The sequence below is a fragment of the Homo sapiens genome, chromosome 8 (assembly GCF_000001405.40).
Source record: "Homo sapiens chromosome 8, GRCh38.p14 Primary Assembly".
Lineage (NCBI taxonomy): Eukaryota > Metazoa > Chordata > Mammalia > Primates > Hominidae > Homo > Homo sapiens.
In genome coordinates, this window is record NC_000008.11 from 91189794 (window position 1) to 91210964 (window position 21171).

General features: G+C 38.5%; 2 protein-coding genes and 1 non-coding gene across 6 annotated transcripts in view, besides 1 other annotated feature; all 3 read left to right on the forward strand.

Annotated features, from left to right (window-relative positions):
- LRRC69 (leucine rich repeat containing 69) overlaps positions 1-21171 on the forward strand; it is a 116639-nt gene that overhangs the window by 87175 nt on the left and 8293 nt on the right. For 2 of the 3 annotated variants that reach the window (NM_001129890.2, NM_001354470.2), the window contains one exon: positions 10820-10999. In NM_001129890.2, coding sequence (NP_001123362.1) covers positions 10820-10999 — 180 coding nt within the window. Of the gene's footprint in view, positions 1-10819; positions 11000-16899; positions 17039-21171 lie in introns of all 3 variants that reach the window. The other variant, NR_148895.2, reaches the window with a different exon arrangement.
- Positions 7356-7865: an enhancer, noted in NCBI's record as "H3K27ac-H3K4me1 hESC enhancer chr8:92209377-92209886 (GRCh37/hg19 assembly coordinates)". NCBI's record gives its function as "activates a minimal SCP1, AML or CMV promoter by ChIP-STARR-seq in naive and primed H9 embryonic stem cells {active_cell/tissue: H9 hESC(naive and primed)}" and the evidence as "EXISTENCE:reporter gene assay evidence [ECO:0000049][PMID:30033119]".
- On the forward strand, positions 15692-15766 carry MIR4661 (microRNA 4661). The gene has a single exon (NR_039805.1). It is a non-coding gene; the product is annotated as a microRNA 4661 (primary transcript).
- SLC26A7 (solute carrier family 26 member 7) overlaps positions 19703-21171 on the forward strand; it is a 188660-nt gene continuing 187191 nt past the window's right edge. For both annotated transcript variants that reach the window (NM_001282356.2, NM_001282357.2), the window contains exon 1: positions 19703-19749. The gene's annotated coding sequence lies outside the window, so the exon portion shown is untranslated. The remainder of the gene's footprint in view (positions 19750-21171) is intronic.

Below are 21171 nucleotides of genomic sequence, written 5' to 3' on the forward strand. Positions count from 1 at the left end.
TGAAATCCTAAGTCACTCTGATTCCCAGAGTGACTTAATTCAGAGAAATGGAAATATTTTGTAGGATGAATAAAAGAGAGAAATTTATTTTCACTTTAGCCTTTTCAGTGTTATTTAAAGATGTATTGATTTGTTCTTAGTGTAGTCTTTACCTCTTTCACTCCCTTTTTACTCGTCTCTATCCCTAGTGGATGAATGAATATGATCCAGAAACTGTGTTCACTTCAGCAAAACAAGTTAATGGTATTAAAAGAAGGAACAGGAAAGCATATTACAGAACTCTTTGGTAATAGACAAGTCAGAGATCACAGGTCCTCCCACATTTGGCTATGATTCTCCATCAAGAATTTAGATTTCTGAGATCCATTTGGGTCTGTAGCTAATGTGCAGGATTGTCATAAGACTTTTAGGATTTGTATGGGATCAACTTTCCTGGCTGCAGGAAACATCCAGTCTTGTCCAGTGGCTTACTTTGTTTTTTTTTTTTTAATTAAATTATTGTATGAATAATACCTGTTTATTGCAGAAAACAATAACATACAGATGAGCAATGGAGAAAATCAAAATTTCTTATACTGACTTTTAAAAAGTTTCTTACTACAAAAGTAATACAAGCTCCCGTAGAGAAATTAGGGCAAAAAAAAGCCAATAGAAGTTAATAAAAATACTAAGAAATCAAATTAATGCTCTATGACATTTATTCTTTTAGAACTTTTTATGCATTCAAAATATTTTTGTAATTAAAGATGAGTTCAAACTCTATACACTATATAGAGTTGTTTTTCCACTCAATTATTGTGAATAGCTTTCCAATCAGTAAAACAAAACAAAATAAAACCAGACCATGACATCTTTTTTGATGAATACATGGTATTCTGTATATGATGATATCATAATATTTTTAACTACTTCCCCACTGTTGGATGTTTAAATTATTAATAATTTTCTGGCTTTTTAGCCTTTATAAACAAAGATACAAGGCTGGGCACAGTGTCTCATGCCTGAGGCCCCAGCAATTTGAGAGGTCATGGCAGGATGATTGCTTGAGCCCAGGAGTTTGAGACCAGCCTGGCCAACAGAGTGAGACCCCATCTCTACAAAATTTTAAAAACCTTAGCCAGGCATGGCAGTGTGTGCCTGTGGTCTCAGCTACTCAGGAGGCTTGAGCCCAGTAGGTTGAGTCTGCAATGAGTTGGGTTCATGCTACTGCACTCCAGCCTGGGTGACAGAGCAGGATCCTGTCTCAAACCCCCCCCCCCCCAAGTCAAAAAGCAACAACAACAAAAAGCAAAGGGACAGTGACCATTCTCATAGTACATTTTTAGTTCCTGTGCATATTATCCCTAAAAATGTAACTGCTGGGCCAAAGAACTGACATCTTGTAAAGTTTGATTTATTTTTTTCAGATTCCCTTTCACAGAATATTTTCACAAACAGCATTATTTCTTACTCTTCTGTAACAGAAAAACATCTCATTTGAAATTTAATAGTAAATAATTTGAGTAACAGTTGTATTTAATTTTTTATTCCCTTATAACTTATTTTTTCTCCTTTCATCAATCATTTCAGTATAATAATAGCAGCTAACACTTATTTTATGCCTATTATGGACAAGGTACTGTTCTAAGCACTTAACAGGAATAAACTAATTTAGTCCTCTACTAACCCTAAAAAGATAGGTATCATTATTGACCACTTTTTATAGATATAGAAATGGAGATTCAGGGAGGTCAAATAACTTATCTGAGGTCACAGAGCTACTAAGTGTTGGGACAATGACGCCAACTTAAGCAGTTGGGTTCCAGACTCCCAGCTGCAATATTGGTTCAGAAAGGGGATATAGGGAGCTGAGGGAAATGGAGACAGGGTCATCCTGGGTTGGAGGAGGTTCTGGTTTGTGGAGGAGGCTGAATTAGCAGTTAACCCAATCTGGTAGCTGTCTTACAGAGAGCCTTCAAGGACAAGAACCTTGTCTGTGAGGGTGGTGAATGAGAGAGAAATTGTTCTAATTTTCAGAACTGTTGGGTCCAGGAGCACAAAAGTTAATTTTTTTTTTCTTTTATTATTATACTTAAAGTTTTAGGGTACATGTGCACATTGTGCAGGTTAGTTACATATGCACACATGTGCCATGCTGGTGCGCTGCACCCACTAACTCGTCATCTAGCATTAGGTATATCTCCCAATGCTATCCCTCCCCCCTCCCCCCACCCCACAACAGTCCCCAGAGTGTGATATTCCCCTTCCTGTGTCCATGTGATCTCATTGTTCAATTCCCACCTATGAGTGAGAATATGCGGTGTTTGGTTTTTTGTTCTTGCGATAGTTTACTGAAAATGATGATTTCCAATTTCATCCATGTCCCTACAAAGGACATGAACTCATCCTTTTTTATGAATGCATAGTATTCCATGGTGTATATGTGCCACATTTTCTTTATCCAGTCTATCATTGTTGGACATTTGGGTTGGTTCCAAGTCTTTGCTATTGTGAATAGTGCTGCAATAAACATACGTGTGCATGTGTCTTTACAGCAGCATGATTTATAGTCCTTTGGGTACATACTCAGTAATGGGATGGCTGGGTCAAATGGTATTTCTAGTTCTAGATCCCTGAGGAATCGCCACACTGACTTCCACAATGGTTGAACTAGTTTACAGTCCCACCAACAGTGTAAAAGTGTTCCTATTTCTCCACATCCTCTCCAGCACCTGTTGTTTCCTGACTTTTTAATGATTGCCATTCTAACTGGTGTGAGATGGTATCTCATTGTGGTTTTGATTTGCATTTCTCTGATGGCCAGTGATGATGAGCATTTTTTCATGTGTTTTTTGGCTGCATAAATGTCTTCTTTTGAGAAGTGTCTATTCATGTCCTTTGCCGAATTTTTGATGGGGTTGTTTGTTTTTTTCTTGTAAATTTGTTTGAGTTCTTTGTAGATTCTGGATATTAGCCCTTTGTTAGATGAGTAGGTTGCAAAAATTTTCTCCCATTTTCTAGGTTGCCTGTTCACTCTGATAGTAGTTTCTTTTGCTGTGCAGAAGCTCTTTAGTTTAATTAGATCCCATTTGTCAATTTTGGCTTTTGTTGCCATTGCTTTTGGTGTTTTAGACATGAAGTCCTTGCCCAAGCCTATGTCCTGAATGGTATTGCCTAGGTTTTCTTCTAGGGTTTTTTACGGTTTTAGATCTAACGTTTAAGTCTTTAATCCATCTTGAATTGATTTTTGTATAAGGTGTAAGGAAGGGATCCAGTTTCAGCTTTCTACATATGGCTAGCCAGTTTTCCCAGCACCATTTATTAAATAGGGAATCCTTTCCCCATTGCTTGTTTTTCTCAGGTTTGTCAAAGATCAGATAGTTGTAGATATGCGGCGTTATTTCTGAGGGCTCTGTTCTGTTCCATTGATCTATATCTCTGTTTTGGTACCAGTACCATGCTGTTTTGGTTACTGTAGCCTTGTAGTATAGTTTGAAGTCAGGTAGTGTGATGCCTCCAGCTTTGTTCTTTTGGCTTAGGATTGACTTGGCCATGCGGGCTCTTTTTTGGTTCCATATGAACTTTAAAGTAGTTTTTTCCAATTCTGTGAAGAAAGGCATTGGTAGCTTGATGGGGATGGCATTGAATCTGTAAATTACCTTGGGTAGTATGGCCATTTTCACGATATTGATTCTTCCTACCCATGAGCATGGAATGTTCTTCCATTTGTTTGTATCCTCTTTTATTTCCTTGAGCAGTGGTTTGTAGTTCTCCTTGAAGAGGTCCTTCACATCCCTTGTAAGTTGGATTCCTAGGTATTTTATTCTCTTTGAAGCAATTGTGAATGGGAGTTCACTCATGATTTGGCTCTCTGTTTGTCTGTTGTTGGTGTATAAGAATGCTTGTGATTTTTGTACATTGATTTTGTATCCTGAGACTTTGCTGAAGTTGCTTATCAGCTTAAGGAGATTTTGGGCTGAGACAATGGGGTTTTCTAGTTATACAATCATGTCGTCTGCAAACAGGGACAATTTGACTTCCTCTTTTCCTAATTGAATACCCTTTATTTCCTTCTCCTGCCTAATTGCCCTGGCCAGAACTTCCAACACTATGTTGAATAGGAGTGGTGAGAGAGGGCACCCCTGTCTTGTGCCAGTTTTCAAAGGGAATGCTTCCAGTTTTTGCCCATTCAGTATGATATTGGCTGTGGGTTTGTCATAGATAGCTCTTATTATTTTGAAATACGTCCCATCAATACCTAATTTATTGAGAGTTTTTAGCATGAAAGGTTGTTGAATTTTGTCAAAGGCCTTTTCTGCATCTATTGAGATAATCGTGGTTTTTGTCTTTGGCTCTGTTTATATGCTGGATTACATTTATTGATTTGCGTATATTGAACCAGCCTTGCATCCCAGGGATGAAGCCCACTTGATCATGGGGGATAAGCTTTTTGATGTGCTGCTGGATTCGGTTTGCCAGTATTTTATTGAGGATTTTTGCATCAATGTTCATCAAGGATATTGGTCTAAAATTCTCTTTTTTGGTTGTGTCTCTGCCAGGCTTTGGTATCAGAATGATGCTGGCCTCATAAAATGAGTTAGGGAGGATTCTCTATTGTTTTATTGATTGGAATAGTTTCAGAAGGAATGGTACCAGTTCCTCCTTGTACCTCTGGTAGAATTCGGCTGTGAATCCATCTGGTCCTGGACTCTTTTTGGTTAGTAAGCTATTGATTATTGCCACAATTTCAGATCCTGTTATTGGTCTATTCAGAGATTCAACTTCTTCCTGGTTTAGTCTTGGGAGAGTGTATGTGTCGAGGAATTTATCCATTTCTTCTAGATTTTCTAGTTTATTTGCGTAGAGGTGTTTGTAGTATTCTCTGATGGTAGTTTGTATTTCTGTGGGATCGGTGATGATATCCCCTTTATCATTTTTTATTGCGTCTATTTGATTCTTCTTTTTTTCTTTATTAGTCTTGCTAGTGGTCTATCTATTTTGTTGATCCTTTCAAAAAACCAGCTCCTGGATTCATTAATTTTTTGAAGGGTTTTTTGTGTCTGTATTTCCTTCAGTTCTGCTCTGATTTTAGTTATTTCTTGCCTTCTGCTAGCTTTTGAATGTGTTTGCTCTTGCTTTTCTAGTTCTTTTAATTGTGATGTTAGGGTGTCAATTTTGGATCTTTCCTGCTTTGTCTTGTGGGCATTTATTGCTATAAATTTCCCTCTACACAGTGCTTTGCATGTGTCCCAGAGATTCTGGTATGTTGTGTCTTTGTTCTCATTGGTTTCAAAGAACATCTTTATTTCTGCCTTCATTTTGTTATGTACCCAGTAGTCATTCAAGAGCAGGTTGTTCAGTTTCCATGTAGTTGAGCGGTTTTGAGTGAGATTCTTAATCCTGAGTTCTAGTTTGATTGCACTGTGGTCTGAGAGATAGTTTGTTATAATTTCTGTTCTTTTACATTTGCTGAGGAGAGCTTTACTTCCAAGTGTGTGGTCAATTTTGGAATAGGTGTGGTGTGGTGCTGAAAAAAATGTATATTCTGTTGATTTGGGGTGGAGAGTTCTGTAGATGTCTATTAGGTCCGCTTGGTGCAGAGCTGAGTTCAATTCCTGGGTATCCTTGTTGACTTTCTGTCTTGTTGATCTGTCTAATGTTGACAGTGGGGTGTTAAAGTCTCCCATTATTAATGTGTAGGAGTCTAAGTCTCTTTGTAGGTCACTCAGGACTTGCTTTATGAATCTGGGTGCTCCTGTATTGGGTGCATATATATTTAGGATAGTTAGCTCTTCTTGTTGAATTGATCCCTTTACCATTATGTAATGGCCTTCTTTGTCTCTTTTGATCTTTATTGGTTTAAAGTCTGTTTTATCAGAGACTAGGATTGCAACCCCTGCCTTTTTCTGTTTTCCATTTGCTTGGAAGATCTTCCTGCATCCTTTTATTTTGAGCCTATGTGTGTCTCTGCACGTGAGATGGGTTTCCTGAATACAGCACACTGATGGGTCTTGACTCTTTATCCAATTTGCCAGTCTGTGTCTTTTAATTGGAGCATTTAGTCCATTTACATTTAAAGTTAATATTGTTATGTGTGAATTTGATCCTGTCATGATGATGTTAGCTGGTTATTTTGCTCATTAGTTGATGCAGTTTCTTCCTAGTCCTGATGGTCTTTACATTTTGGCATGATTTTGCAGCGGCTGGTACCAGTTGTTCCTTTCCATGTTTAGCGCTTCCTTCAGGAGCTCTTTTAGGGCAGGCCTTGTAGTGACAAAATCTCTCAGCATTTGCTTGTCTGTAAAGTATTTTATTTCTCCTTCACTTATGAAGCTTAGTTTGGCTGGATATGAAATTCTGGGTTGAAAATTCTTTTCTTTAAGAATGTTGAATATTGGCCCCCACTCTCTTCTGGCTTGTAGGGTTTCTCCCGAGAGATCTGCTGTTAGTCTGATGGGCTTCCCTTTGAGGGTAACCCGACCTTTCTCTCTGGCTGCCCTTAACATTTTTTCCTTCATTTCAAGTTTGGTGAATCTGACAATTATGTGTCTTGGAGTTGCTCTTCTCGAGGAGTATCTTTGTTGTGTTCTCTGTATTTCCTGAATCTGAACGTTGGCCTGCCTTGCTAGATTGGGGAAGTTCTCCTGGATAATATCCTGCAGAGTGTTTTCCAACTTGGTTCCATTCTCCCCATCACTTTCAGGTACACCAAGCAGACGTAGATTTGGTCTTTTCACATAGTCCCATATTTCTTGGAGGGTTTGCTCATTTCTTTTTATTCTTTTTTCTCTAAACTTCCCTTCTTGCTTCATTTCATTCATTTCATCTTCCATCGCTGATACCCTTTCTTCCAGTTGATCGCATCAGCTCCTGAGGCTTCTGCATTCTTCCCGTAGTTCTCGAGCCTTGGTTTTCAGCTCCATCAGCTCCTTTAAGCACTTCTCTGTATTGGTTATTCTAGTTATACATTCTTCTAAATTTTTTTCAAAGTTTTCAACTTCTTTGCCTTTGGTTTGAATGTCCTCCCGTAGCTCAGAGTAATTTGATCGTCTGAAGCCTTCTCTCAGCTTGTCAAAGTTGTTCTCCGTCCAGCTTTGTTCCATTGCTGGTGAGGCACTGCGTTCCTTTGGAGGAGGAGAGGCGCTCTGCGTTTTAGAGTTTCCAGTTTTTCTGTTCTGTTTTTTCCCCATCTTTGTGGTTTTATCTACTTTTGGTCTTTGATGATGGTGATGTACAGATGGGTTTTTGGTGTGGATGTCCTTTCTGTTTGTTAGTTTTCCTTCTAACAGACAGGACCCTCAGCTGCAGGTCTGTTGGAGTACCCTGCGGTGTGAGGTGTCAGTGTGCCCCTGCTGGGGGGTGCCTCCCAGTTAGGCTACTCGGGGGTCAGGGGTCAGGGACCCACTTGAGGAGGCAGTCCGCCCATTCTCAGATCTCCAGCCGCGTGCTGGGAGAACCACTGCTCTCTTCAAAGCTGTCAGACAGGGACATTTAAGTCTGCAGAGGTTACTGCTGTCTTTTTGTTTGTCTGTGCCCTGCCCCCAGAGGTGGAGCCTACAGAGGCAGGCAGGCCTCCTGGAGCTGTGGTGGGCTCCACCCAGTTCGAGCTTCCCCGGCTGCTTTGTTTACCTAATCAAGCCTGGCCAATGGCGGGCGCCCCTCCCCCAGCCTCGCTGCCGCCTCGCAGTTTGATCTCAGACTGCTGTGCTAGCAATCAGCGAGACTCCGTGGGCGTAGGACCCTCCGAGCCAGGTGCGGGATATTATCTCGTGGTGCGCCGTTTTTTAAGCCCGTCGGAAAAGCGCAGTATTAGGGTGGGAGTGACCCGATTTTCCAGATGCCGTCCGACACCCCTTTCTTTGACTAGGAAAGGGAACTCCCTGACCCCTTGCGCTTCCCGAGTGAGGCAATGCCTCACCCTGCTTCGGCTCGCGCACGGTGCGCGCACCCACTGACCGGCGCCCACTGTCTGGCACTCCCTAGTGAGATGAACCCGGTACCTCAGATGGAAATGCAGAAATCACCCGTCTTCTGTGTCGCTCACGGTGGGAGCTGTAGACTGGAGCTGTTCCTATTCGGCCATCTTGGCTCCTCCCGTCTCCAAAAGTTAATTTTTACAATGTGTTTAGTGGAAGTAGCTATCTATGCCTGTAATATGTAAATGATGTGTGTAGTTTTAAGAGTATCCCTAAGAATTCTTCTCAGAAAAGTGACTTAAATTGATTTGTACTTAAAGTAAGAGTTATTTCTACTGGGCATTTAGTCAATGTTACTGATTAAAGTACTTGCTGTGTCAAAGAATTCTAGGAACTATGATATGGGTTATGCCTTGGTAAAGATTTTAGAAACTTTACCTCACCTCAGAGATTTATGAAGTAAAATTTATTGCTAATAACTATATTATAGAAAAATATTAGCGGGAATATACTGCATTAGTAGATGCCAGGCTAAATGGTTTACCGTTTTTATGTAATTTAATTCTCCAAACTCTTTGTGATAGTATTGGAAAAAAATCCCAACTTTACAGATGAGGTGTTCAAGACCAGGGAAGTTAAGGGTTCATCCAAATATGACCACACAGCAAATAAGTCATAGAGCCAGAATTTACACCTATGCATGTATTTGTCTCAGACTTTGAATTTTTGCTCTTGATGCTACGTTTTAGTGCTTATCATACACATAGTAACACCTGAGTATACAATAGTTCCAAAATGTATCACTCCTAAGGATTCATATTTGTTTTTACATTTTATGTTTTTCATATTATATAATTTTTATGTGTATAATTTAATAACTCAAAAATTATAAGGAAAATGTAGGACATATAAAATCAATTTCATTTATGATGAATTATAATTAACTTACAAATATTCTAAGAAAATAGCATATAAGCTATCTAAAAGGAGCAATTTGAGTATTTTGAAATATTTTTATAGACCACTTTGGTCTATAAAAGATTTCTTGACTTTTAAATAACACTGGAATTAGACCATCATTAAATTGTATACTCTCAAAAATTGCACTGAATGCATCTCTAAGAGATGTCCTAAAAGATACTATTGGTCATGCCAATAGTATTTTATTTTATATATACTCACATTTCCAAGTAAGAACTTTATATTTTAATGGTGTATGCTATCCTTCCAAAATAACACATTGGCAATAAGTAAAAGAAAAATATAAATAATAGTTGATGTAAGAGCTGTCAGATATACTGAGTGCAACAAACATGTTTGGGTCCAGAAATCATAAATGGAAAAAGTGATCTATATGAACCTATTTTTAGGTCCCTGGTATTTCAGCAAATGCTTCTGTCATCTGCTATTTTGGGTAGTGAATCCTTATCCATGAGTTTTCTACAGCTTTATAATAAGACTTGGCCATTGAATTCGTGTAGCTAAAAGCCCACCTATAAAATCAGTATTTATTTAAGAATCACAAGCTATGATCTGCTTAAGTAGTTGGAGAAAGGGTGAAAATAAACATCTGATTTAGGCACCCTTGTAATATTAGTGTGAAAGCATGACCTCAGTCATGCAACCACCCAGGAGAATGAGCTTAAGTGGGTAGGAGGTTGTGCTGTTGAACGATCAGACAAATAAAGAATCCATGCTCAGGGCTGTTTACTGTATAAAGGCAGCTTTCTCGGGTGCTTGTTTATTGGGAGGGATAGGATAATAGGAAATGGACACAGCAATTTATAAGATTTTGCTGTTATTTTTTAAGTTTTTAAATAATTTAATTTCTTTAAAATTAAATTAATTTCATGCATGGGGAGAATGCATGAAAGATTATGTGTGTATATATGTATTTTCAAAAATTCCTATCCAAGCTTTATGTGGACTATTTCAATACTACTGGGAAATCTTTCACTTTTGTTGGGAAAAAAAAGTACCAAATAAATCATCCCCAAACACTGTTAAAATTTCAAGCAGTGTTTGTGTAACATTTATACAGGACTTCCATGCTACTGACAAAAACAATGGAGAAAATTTAATGGATTCAGGCAAATGTTTATTTATTTTCTTTGCTTGGTCAGTGAAGATTTAATTTTATGCATTATGTAATATATTTTTATTAAGATGATAGCCCTAATGAAAGGCAACTTCCATTTTCTTACTTCCTCCCTTTATTATTTAGTATTTTATTATTATTATTGCAAGTCAATTTTCTGAACATATCTAGGTAGATAGGTTTAACTGAGATTAAATTCACATATTTGGTTCCTAGAAATCATTGCTTTTTTGATGGCACTATTCAGGTTCTCAGTGCAGCAAGGAATTTAGACCAGTGCTTCTCAAATTTCAATATGCGTATAGATTACCTGAGGAACTAGTTAAATTGCAGATTTTGATTCAGTAGGTCTGGAGTGTGTCTGACATTCTGCATATCTAATAAGCTCCCATGTGATGCAGTCTGTGAACCACAGTTCAAGTAGTTAGGATTTAGACCTTAGTGAACATGACAAAATTCATTTTTGAATCCAGTCTGAATGTTTGTACAGTTTTTGCTTATTGTAATGAGAGGTGCCAGATTTAAACCTAAACTGTATCTAACTTTATAAAATGTGTAATGCAAATGTATTACGACTTGGATTCCTATATGTAAGAGATGTAGAAATACGACAATGTAAGAAACTTATTGTTCTTATATTGATGAAAACCAAACTTATTTGCAATGCCAGTCATTTACAACACAATTCATTAGATACACTGCAGAATCTTAATTTAACAGAATCTAGATAATAAGCCATACACTTTATCTAATGAAATGGAAATCAATGTAATGTAAAATAGTTTTGAAAACAATCTGAGGAACTGTATTTTTTTTTTCAATTTAGGAAATAACATCAAGATTTGTAATGAATCAGCTAGCAGAAAATAACCCTTTCCTAATGGATGACATAGAACGGTACCCACAAGTCAGGAGCATGATCTCTCAGGGAAAAACATGTGCAATATGTGGACAGTACTTTATAACCGTATGGCTGGAATGTGTTCGATTTGTTCCTCCACCAAAGGTAAATGATGCTTTTTATGCGAATATGAGCATAATACTGATTCCTATCCTTTGTTCTTATCTAAATCAGTTAATACTAACTAGATTTGTACCTATGATTGGCTTATAGGATAGTATACTGTAAATTTTGGATAGACAAATTTGGATAAGTGTCGGTAATAATCATCATCACCCATTCTATTTACATTCATAGACTCCCAAATTTATCAAAATACATGGATTCTAGCAAAATTTCATGAAAGTTGAAAGTTTTTAATCAGTAAATCCCTTTTGTTCATGAATATTAATAATAAAACCAGAACTAAATTCTTCTCAGAAGAAGAATTGGTCAGTAGTCTGTCATGGAATTCTTGGTGTAGAAAAGGTGAATGTGCTGGCTAGTTTATATCATGATGGTGTTCTAGAACACTAAATACGCATGAATGTGCACCTGCAACATTATGTTACCCAGGAGTTGTGAATCCCAGGGCAGTTCACATAGCCCATAAGGCGTGTTCTAGACCAGAGCTCAGCAAACTCCTTTTTCTCTAAGCGGCCAGATAGTAAATATTTTAGGCCTTATAGACAGTGTGATCTGTGTGACTACTACTTGACTCTCCTTTGTAGCATGAATGCAGCTCTAGATAATATGTACATGAGTGTAGCTGTGTTCTAATAAAACTTTACTTGTGAATTTAAATTTCATATAATGTTAACATATCATGAAATATTATTTTATTTTGATTTTTTTTTCAACCATTTAAAAATGTGAAAACCTTTCTTAGCTTACAAGTCTTATGAAAACAGGAGGTGGGTCAAATTTGGCCTGGGGACCATAGTTTTCCCACACTTGTTCTAGACTGTCTAATGTTTGCTTTTAATACCAGAATTCCTTTCTGCTCTTGGTGAGCCCTTGGCCTTCCTTGGGCTAGCATAGTATAATATTGGGGGATAATTTTAAATAAATTAATAAAAACAGCTGCAGTTTCTGCCATTCTGAAAATTGTCATCTAGTGAAGGAGACAAACAAATAAGTAAACACAAATGTAACATAAATTGTGACTAACATGACATAAAAGAATGGTATATTAGTTTGCTAGGGCTGACCTAACGAAGTACTACAAACTAGGTGGCTTAAAACAAGAGAAATTTAGGCTGGGTGCGGTGGCTCACACCTGTAATCCCAGCACTTTGTGAAGTCGAGGTGGGTGGATCACCTGAGGTCAGGAGTTTGAGACCAGTCTGGCCAATATGATAAAATCACATCTCTACTAAAAATACAAAAATTACCTGGGTGTGGTGATGGGCGCCTGTAATCCCAGCTTCTTGGGAGACTGAGACAGGAGAATCACTTGAATCTGGGAGGCAGAGGTTGTAGTTAACCGAGATTGCACCACTGCACTCCAGCCTAGGCAACAGAGCGAGACTCTGTCTAAAACAAAAACAAAAACAAAAACAAAAACACAACAAACAAACAAACAAAAGAAAACAAGAGAAATGTATTGTCTCACAGTTGTAGAGGCTAGAAGTTTAAAATCAGGTGTCATTTAATTTGATCATCTTGGTAAAGGCCCTATTTCCAAACAAGGTGACTTTTGGGGGCACTGGATGTTAGGACTTCAACATATGAATTTTGGCAGAAACACAATTCAGCCCATAACCAATGGGTTTCACAAGGAAGAGTATCAGGGAAGCCCTTCTTTAAATCTGGGATAAGGGAAGTCTTCACAGAGGAAATGATATTTTAAATGACACCTCAAAGGTAAAGAAGGTCAGGTAGAATTGTGGAAGAGTGTTTCCAGGAAACTGTTCCAGTAGGAACAGTGTGTATTAATGGGAAATCACTTTTTGATTCGAGGAACTGAAAAATGGTTCAGTGTGATTAGAAAGTATTAATTGACTAGGAGAGTTGAGATAGGCAGGAGTGAGATCACAAAATACCACGTAGTTTACATTAGGAATTTGGCTTCTATTTAATATGTGATGAGACACATTTGAGGAATTTTAAGTAAAAGAGTGGTATATCCTAATTTACATTTTAACAATATAACATCTGCATAGAGAATGAATTAGAGGGCAAGGAAGTGAGATTAGGCAGTAGGCTATTTGCACTAGACCAGCTGAGAGATGATGATCGCAGTGGCAATGGAGGGAAATTATGGATTGAAGATGCATCTTGGAGAAAGAAGTGATAAGACTTAGATTTCCAGGTTTTTTTGGCCTACAGAACTGTGTAAAGCAGATTTTTTTTTTATTACTAAAATAGGGAAGACTAAGGGAGAAGTAGGCTTGTTGGGGAGAGATAGAAGTTCTGTTTTTGCACATGGTTAAGTATGAGACTCCTGCAAAATCTGGGAGCCTGAGCAACCTGGAAGCTATAGACTCCTATCTAGTCTGTTAGGCATGCTGGGAAGTCTAGGACTCATTGTTAGCTGTGAGTGTGTGTGTGGGTGGGTGGGAAGATTTTGGTAGGGAACTAGATATGTGACCTCTAACATCATCTCTATCTCTAAAGAGTTTGATTCTAAATCCTGTTGTTCAAGTGATTTAGGGTATCATTATGCTCCAGTAGTCTTTGTGCCAATAAAGGATCTGAGTTGTGAATATGCTTATACCTATCTTTTTTTTTTTTTCTTTCCGAGACAAAGTCTGGCTCTGTCACCCAGCCTAAAGTGCAGTGGTGGTGATCTTGGTTCACTGCAACCTCCATCTCCTGTGTTCAAGCAATTCTCCTGCCTCGGCCTCTCAAGTAGCTGGGATTACAGGTGGCCACCACCACACCTGGCTTTTTTTTGTGTGTGTATTTTTAGTAGAGATGGGGTTTTACCATGTTGGCCAGGCTTGTCTCGAACTCCTGATCTCAGGTGATCTGCCTGCCTTGGCCTCCCAAAGTGCTGGGATTACAAGCGTAAGCCACTGCGCCCAGCCTCAGTGTATCTTATCACTAGCCACTCACCAAATTTACCAAAGAATCTTTTAAAAAATACAGATTATCCTACCCTAGAACTACTAAATCAGAGTCTGTAGCAGTAGGATCCTGAGCATCCACATTTTTATGAAGATTTCTAGCCGGGCACGGTGGCTCACGCCTGTAATCCCAGCACTTTCGGAGGCTGAGGCGGGCAGATCACGAGGTCAGGAGATCGAGACCATCCTGGCTAACACAGTGAAACCCCGTCTCTACTAAAAAAAATACAAAAAATTAGCCGGGTGTGGTGGCGGGCACCTATAGTCCCAGCTACTTGGGATGCTGAGGCAGGAAAATGGTGTGAACCCAGGAGGAGCAGCTTGCAGTGAGCCGAGATCGTGCCACTGCACTCCAGCCTGGGCAACAGAGAAAGACTCCATCTCAAAAAAAAAAAAAAAAAAAAGATTTCTAGTTGATTTTCATGTGCAGTCAGGGCTGAGAATCTCTGCTCTCCCTGTTTAGGGCTGTCCCAGTACCACAGGGAAATGGTTGTGTCTTACACACCTTACTAAGCAAGGCCTATGTGGTTTCTCACACATAACAAAAAGTTGAATATAAAAAAAGTTGAATGAATATTCATTGGTTGAATATATGAATTAATGAATTGTTAGTGACAAAGGTGTAGTACAGCTAATAGTGAAAAAAGAAAAGGAGGTGTTGGTGAAGGAGTAAATCCACTGTGGAGCACTGGAAGATGACAAACACCTTAATATGGCCTCTATGCTGGGGAGAATTCTTACTATGGCTGCCTTCAGGCACACTGTAGAGTTTGCTCTGTCAGTCTGCTTCTTGGACCCTATGCTGAAAGTCTTTCACTTTACTCCACTGTAAGCAGAACAAAGGCTCCTGCATACAAGTATGCTATGTTCCCAAGGATCTCCAGAGCCTGGATTAGGCCTTTCGCCTTTCACAGCCCATGGCCTCCCCAGGGACAATCGATGAGTGCATGTGAATGCTGATAATGTATTCTTACTAGCATTATTAGTTGTTTCATAAGCTTACATTTCTAACTCCTGGATGAGATCATCACTACTTAGGTTCAGAGATACATTATCTTTCTCAAAACTGTAATTGTGAAACTTTCTTTCATGAACTTCACTATATGTGTTGTTCATCATGAGGTTCAACAAGGACAACTTTTTTTCCACCAACTTTTTAGTTTGAGAAATTGGAAAACAACACATAACTTGAATGAATAATACAATGAACATTTGTATACCCTTTACCTAGAGTTGCCGATTTTTAATATTTTTTTCCATTGGCCTTATCTGTTACTGTTTTTTGCCTTTCAGGATGCATCTTGTCCAAAACAAATTTGATATTGACACAAGCCAAGAATGTAGCCTACCTAGAAAGATTGTATTATTACTTTTCAGGGCAAAAATAGAAGAATAGATTCGAATTATAAAAAATATGAATGAATGAATGAATGGATAAATAAAGCTATCCTTCATACCAAGTAGAGAGATTTTATCAAGAGTTACAGTGGATAACACAATATATGAGCCAGAAAATATGTAGGTTATTTTAGCTATACTAACCCACGCTTAGGACATGGAGGCTCACGTTACTGGCCTGTTTACTTTCCAAGAAGCAGAGTACAGATTTTACAACAGCTGCTTTACGTAGTTCATTTATAATCCTGTAGAATGAAATCCAGGAACAGTCATCAGAGTTCACATCACCTGATGTCAGGTATTTACACATCACCTGATGCCAGGTATTCACGTCACCTGATATCAGGTATTTACTCTGAACTAGCTCTGTGGATCCTGACAGACAGCCTGATAGACAGGATCCACAGAGCTAGTCCAGAGTAAAAGACCTAAATCAGCTGTGGTTGTGGTGTAGAGCTACTACAATTTTTCTCACAATGTCCTTTACCAGAGTTTTTGACACTGCCAAGTATTGTAAAATGTTGCATGTGAATTGGGAGACTAAAAGGAAGGCTAGAAGTGTTTTCCTCTTGATCCAGTCATGTACAAATTATGTCTTACTAGACATAACCATGTGTGCTTAAGACAAAAAAATAAAAGTGGAAGAATCTAATCAGAGAAATCATTCTCATCTCAGTTACATGTATATTGGGCTTTAGTGTAGTGGTTGCCTATAAAAGTTCTCTATGAATAAGAAACAGTGATTTAAGTTGTTCAGTTTTTCAATACCTTGATGCTCTTGCTATGGAAATGTCTTTGTCAAAGTTGAGTTGGTGTTTATATCAGAAAGCTTTGAAGTCTTCATGGCATTTAGCAAAATTTGTAGTAATCGATTTACTTGGTGTTGGTGTCTGTCTCTACCACTGAATACTAAGCTCAAGGAATTTAAGAACCATTTTGGTTTTGTTCACCTTTATAGAGAGAGAGCTTCGGACAATACCTGATAAAATTTTATTTCTACAGAATGATAAATCAGATCTGGATTTGAATACCAGCTCCTCCTTTAATTAGTTTGTCAACATATTACATCTCTATGTATCATAAGAAAAATCTGGCAAAGGTGCTGCCAAGGAAGGCTAATGTTAAAATTTTTAAAAGCCCAGAATCTAGAACTAAACAGATAGCCAAAGAGAACATTAAAATAGTGGTTGAGCAGGAATTTGAAAGTTAAAACCAGCTGGACCTTAAATACAAAGAGAAAAGACAGCTCATCGGTGGGAAAATGAGGATAGAAATGTATGTTGGTCCTCAAGATGGGAGTAAATATGTAATCTTGATCACATATGTAGCTATCTGTGAATTGTTCACATTATCATCTGGAATGGATTGTTATATTCAAGAGACATTTAATGAGTACAGCGTGTCAGATTACTCGGAAACAGTTTTCAAAACATCCTGCTTTCCACTGGTGATGTTCTGAACACCTTAGACAAGTTGCCATGTTTAATTGTGCTCTGACAGATTCCCTCTCAAAACCATCTGATGTGCTGCTACTCTTATTTCATGTCTCTCTTTCAGAAACTACAACCTAATACAAGCAACAACAGCCAGAATTTATTTGGTACTGAGTGTGCATCTGGTGCTCTGCTAAATATGTCACCTGGAATACCTCAATTAATGTCCAAAATAACCCCATGACACCAGTAAGAAATCCAAGGCAAGGAGAAACCAAGTAATTTTGCCAATTTCAGAAAGCTGCCAAGTAGAGGATATGGGCAGGGAACTCATACATGTTATTCCTGATCCTTAACCAGAGAGTCTGGGCTATGTTTCCTATGCTTTTCCAACCTAGTTATTCCCCATTTACTTCAGCTGAACTTAAGACATTTATGTTAAAGATCCTTCTTCTGTCCTCATTTATTTATCCACTGAAACTTATTTATTTTTTTCTAACTGTGTGTCAGATTATTTGCCAGGGCTGGGAATACAGAACCCTGATCCTTGAGAAACTCACATGTTCCCAGGAGAAGTGGGATAATAAGGATTGGAATCTGACAAGTTAGGTTTGATGTCCAGCCCTACCACTTGCCACCTGTGTCCTGTTACTTCCCTCTTCAAGGCTAAGCTTCCTCATCCTGTCAAATGGCAATAATAATAATACCCATCACACAGAACTGTGGCTAGGGATCATGAGGTAATGCATAAACAGTGCTTAGTACAGTGGGTGTTCAACAAAGGTAGCATATAGTAGGTGCTTAATAAGTATTTTTTTTTATGTGTGTGTTTTGTAAACCAAGGCTTTCAGACAAGAAAGAGAGAATGATTGCATTCTTGTGATAAGCAGATGTGAAGCTGCACAGGATGCTGTGAGAAGAAGGCATCTCCAGTAAATGGGATAGTCCCTGGTTTAACCCTGGTGCCTACCACAGTGATTGTGTTTGGCGAATCCATAATAAATGTTAAGTTACTTTAAGAGGCATTTCTTAGAAATGTGCTTTGAAGGCTAGGGAGGCATTTAGAATAGATAAAGAACTAGTGGATAAGCATTTCAGGCTAGGCAGTTGCCTGTGCAGAGTTAATATTGTGCAAATATAAATTGCACAATGTGTACAGTGAAGTCACGGAAGGTGAGGTATGAGAGATGAAGTTGGAGAAAACAGCAGTGTGGGTTACAGTGACTCTTTTATGTGAAGTTTGAGCTTAATTTCAAAAGCTAGTGTATAAGTTGCTAGGGCTGTATAACAAAGTATCACAGACTGGGTGGCTTACACAACAGGAATTGATTTATTAACAATTCTGGAGGCTAGAAGTCTGAGAGCAAGGTGCCAGGAGGGGTTGGCTTCTCCTGCAGCCTCTCTTTTCGGCCTCTACATGGCTGGCTCTTTCCTGTGTCTTCACATGGTCTTCCTTTGGTACATGTCTGTGTCCAAATTTCCTCTTCTCATAAGGATGTCAGTCATATTGGATTAGAGCTCACTTTATTTGACTTCATTTTAACCTAAGTAACACTTTAAAGACCCTATCTCCAAATACAGTGACATTCGGAGATACTGGGGTTTAAGACATATGGATTTTTGGGTGACACAGTTTAGCCCGTAACAGCTACTTAGAGTTGTTGAAGTAGTGGGGTATGATGACATTTTTGCTTGACAAAGAGAGGCTAGACCTGGTGATGTGGATTTAAAAATTGTTTATATAAGTGAGACACTCGAAGCCCTGGGAATGAAGATTACCTAAGGAGATCTACTCAGTAGGGTGAGAAGACCAGAAGGACAGAACCTTGGAGGGCAATATTATTAAAAGGTGGCAAAAGCAGGAGTCAGCAAATGAGAATGAAAAGAAACATTCAGGGACAGAAGGGCAAAACAGGGAGAGTGGCACAAATTCTTCAGCTATAAAACACAGATGCACAATAAACAGGGCTTTCTTGCTTTTTCTTCCACTGAACTTAGCTTTTATTTGGGCCCCATTCTACTGGAAAGTTTACCTAGTTAATTCAAGGCTTATGTGGTAATTTTAGGATTTCCTAAGTCATTTCAGATTTTATCTTGATCACTTAGAATTTCCTTCCCTTCCTTTCTGCCTATATTATCTAATTCTTGGAGTTTTTAAGTAGTGTCATGGTATTAGGAGGTAGGAGCCATATGTTCTGCCAATGTCCTGTTTCATGTGGGCATCCTCTGGTGTGTGATCTTCCTATCTAGATCGAAGCTCCGTGGTAGTGTCTACTTCCCATTGGTCATGCTTCTTCTTCCATGTACCCTGTGTCTTCTTGTTCTGATGTTGAAGTCCCTTTTGTTTGCTGGTTCTCTTTCAACCACTTCTACACTATTCTCTGGGCATAAGAAAATTTTGGCTGCTCTCTTACTCTAATATGGGCTCAAGAATGAGCTGACTAAAGACACCAAGTTGACAGATCCAGGGCTGAGGAGAAGAAACAGCACTGAAAAATCAAAAGAGGAAGGTGGTGTCCTTTGTGTCATTAAGTGGCAGGGCTGGAAGCAGGTTGCATCGATAAGAAGCCTGATGGGGCCAGGCGTGGTGGCTCATGCCTGTAATCCCAGCATTCTGCGAGGCCGAGGCGGGCGGATCACCTGAGGTCAGGAATTTGAGACCAGCCTGACCAACATGGTGAAACCTCGTCTCTACTAAAAACACAAAAAAATTAGCCAGACATGGTGGTGGGCACCTGTAATCCCAGCTACTCGGGAGACTGAGGAGGCAGGAGAAGCACTTGAAGCCAGCAGGCAGAGGTTGTAGTGAGCCGAGATCACGCCATTGCACTTGCACTGCAGCCTGGCAACAAGAGTGAAACTATGTCTCAATAAATAAATAAATAAATAAATAAATAAATAAAAAAGCCTGGTAAGAATACGGAAGTGAAGCCAGCAAGTCTTGACTAATCTCCAAGCAATGTAGCTGTAAAAGGTAGGAGTGCTATAGAATATTCTTTGGACGTGAGGAAGGCTTGAAGAAAAATTTTGAAAATGGGAAGATATGTGCATGGTTGTAGGCTGTGGAAAGAGCTAGTAAGGAGGATGTAAAATTAGTCTGTCTTGTACACCAATTCAGGAAGAGTTTAATGCTGTGATTAGGTACTGCTACTTTAAAAAATTAGTAGAATTTTTAATAGAATTTTGTTACTGCATGATGAACCTTATCTATTCCATCATGTTAAGGGAATGAGTAAGCCAAGAAGAGGAGATATGAAAGGTTTTAAACAACTAGAAGATGGGTAATGGTAGTGCTTTTCCACTTACAAAATGCTTTTTACATATTTTTTTCTTTCAACATCTTTACTGAGTTCTTACTATATGCAAGGTACTATGCTAAGCTCTCTGGATCCAAAGATGAATAAGATGCAGTTCATGCTATTGAGGAGATCACAGACTATTAAAATGTAACGTTAGAAGCATTGTCATAAAGCATTATATACCCATACTATGGAGTCATAGACAGAACCAACAACGACTTTGGTGGAGGCTAAAAGGTAAATTTCCCAGGGGGTGACATTTAAGTAATAGAGTTTCTGGCCCTCATATTAACTTTGTGACTTGGTTTTCATTGTCTCTATTCACAGTTGAGGTAACTAAGACTAAGCAAAGTTAAGTAGTTTGTTCACAAATTTCAAATCTATCAAATAATAGAATTAGGACTTTAGCTTACCTGACACCTCCTGATACCACCTTCTGTCTCTTTTTTCCTGCACTAGAACATGCACAATTTCATTTTGAATCATAAGAGAAAGTGCAAATAAATTTATTGATTGATGATGATACCATTACTCCCAATAGCTATCTTTGTATATTTGAAACACTGTCATGTGAAAGAGAGATGAGGCTTTCCTTCTGTTGACTTGCAGAGTAAGAAAATAGAACCACTGACCATTCAGGTCAGATAGATAGAACTTTCTTACAGGATTTTAAACACAGACACACACACACACAGACACACACACACACACACACACACACACACACAGGTTAACATCAATCATCACTGAGGAAACAAGCTTGGAAGCAAGAGTAGGAAAATAAGGAGATTTGATATCTATATAATTTCACTTTAAAAATTAAAAGAGAATACATTTTTATGAATTAAATATGTCAGGGCATTATAAAAACAGCAACATAATGGCATAAGAATATAGCATGGATTAAAAACATAATGGTTAAAAGAGAAACCCATTAGCTAGGATCTACACCCTTTGAATGTTCTAGCTAATGGCAGAAAATGTTCAAATATTGAAAGAAGACAATTTCAGATTGAAAAAGCACATTGAGTTCCAAGCAGAACAAACAAGAACAAATCCATACATAGACACATTTTGGTAAAACTATATACCACCAA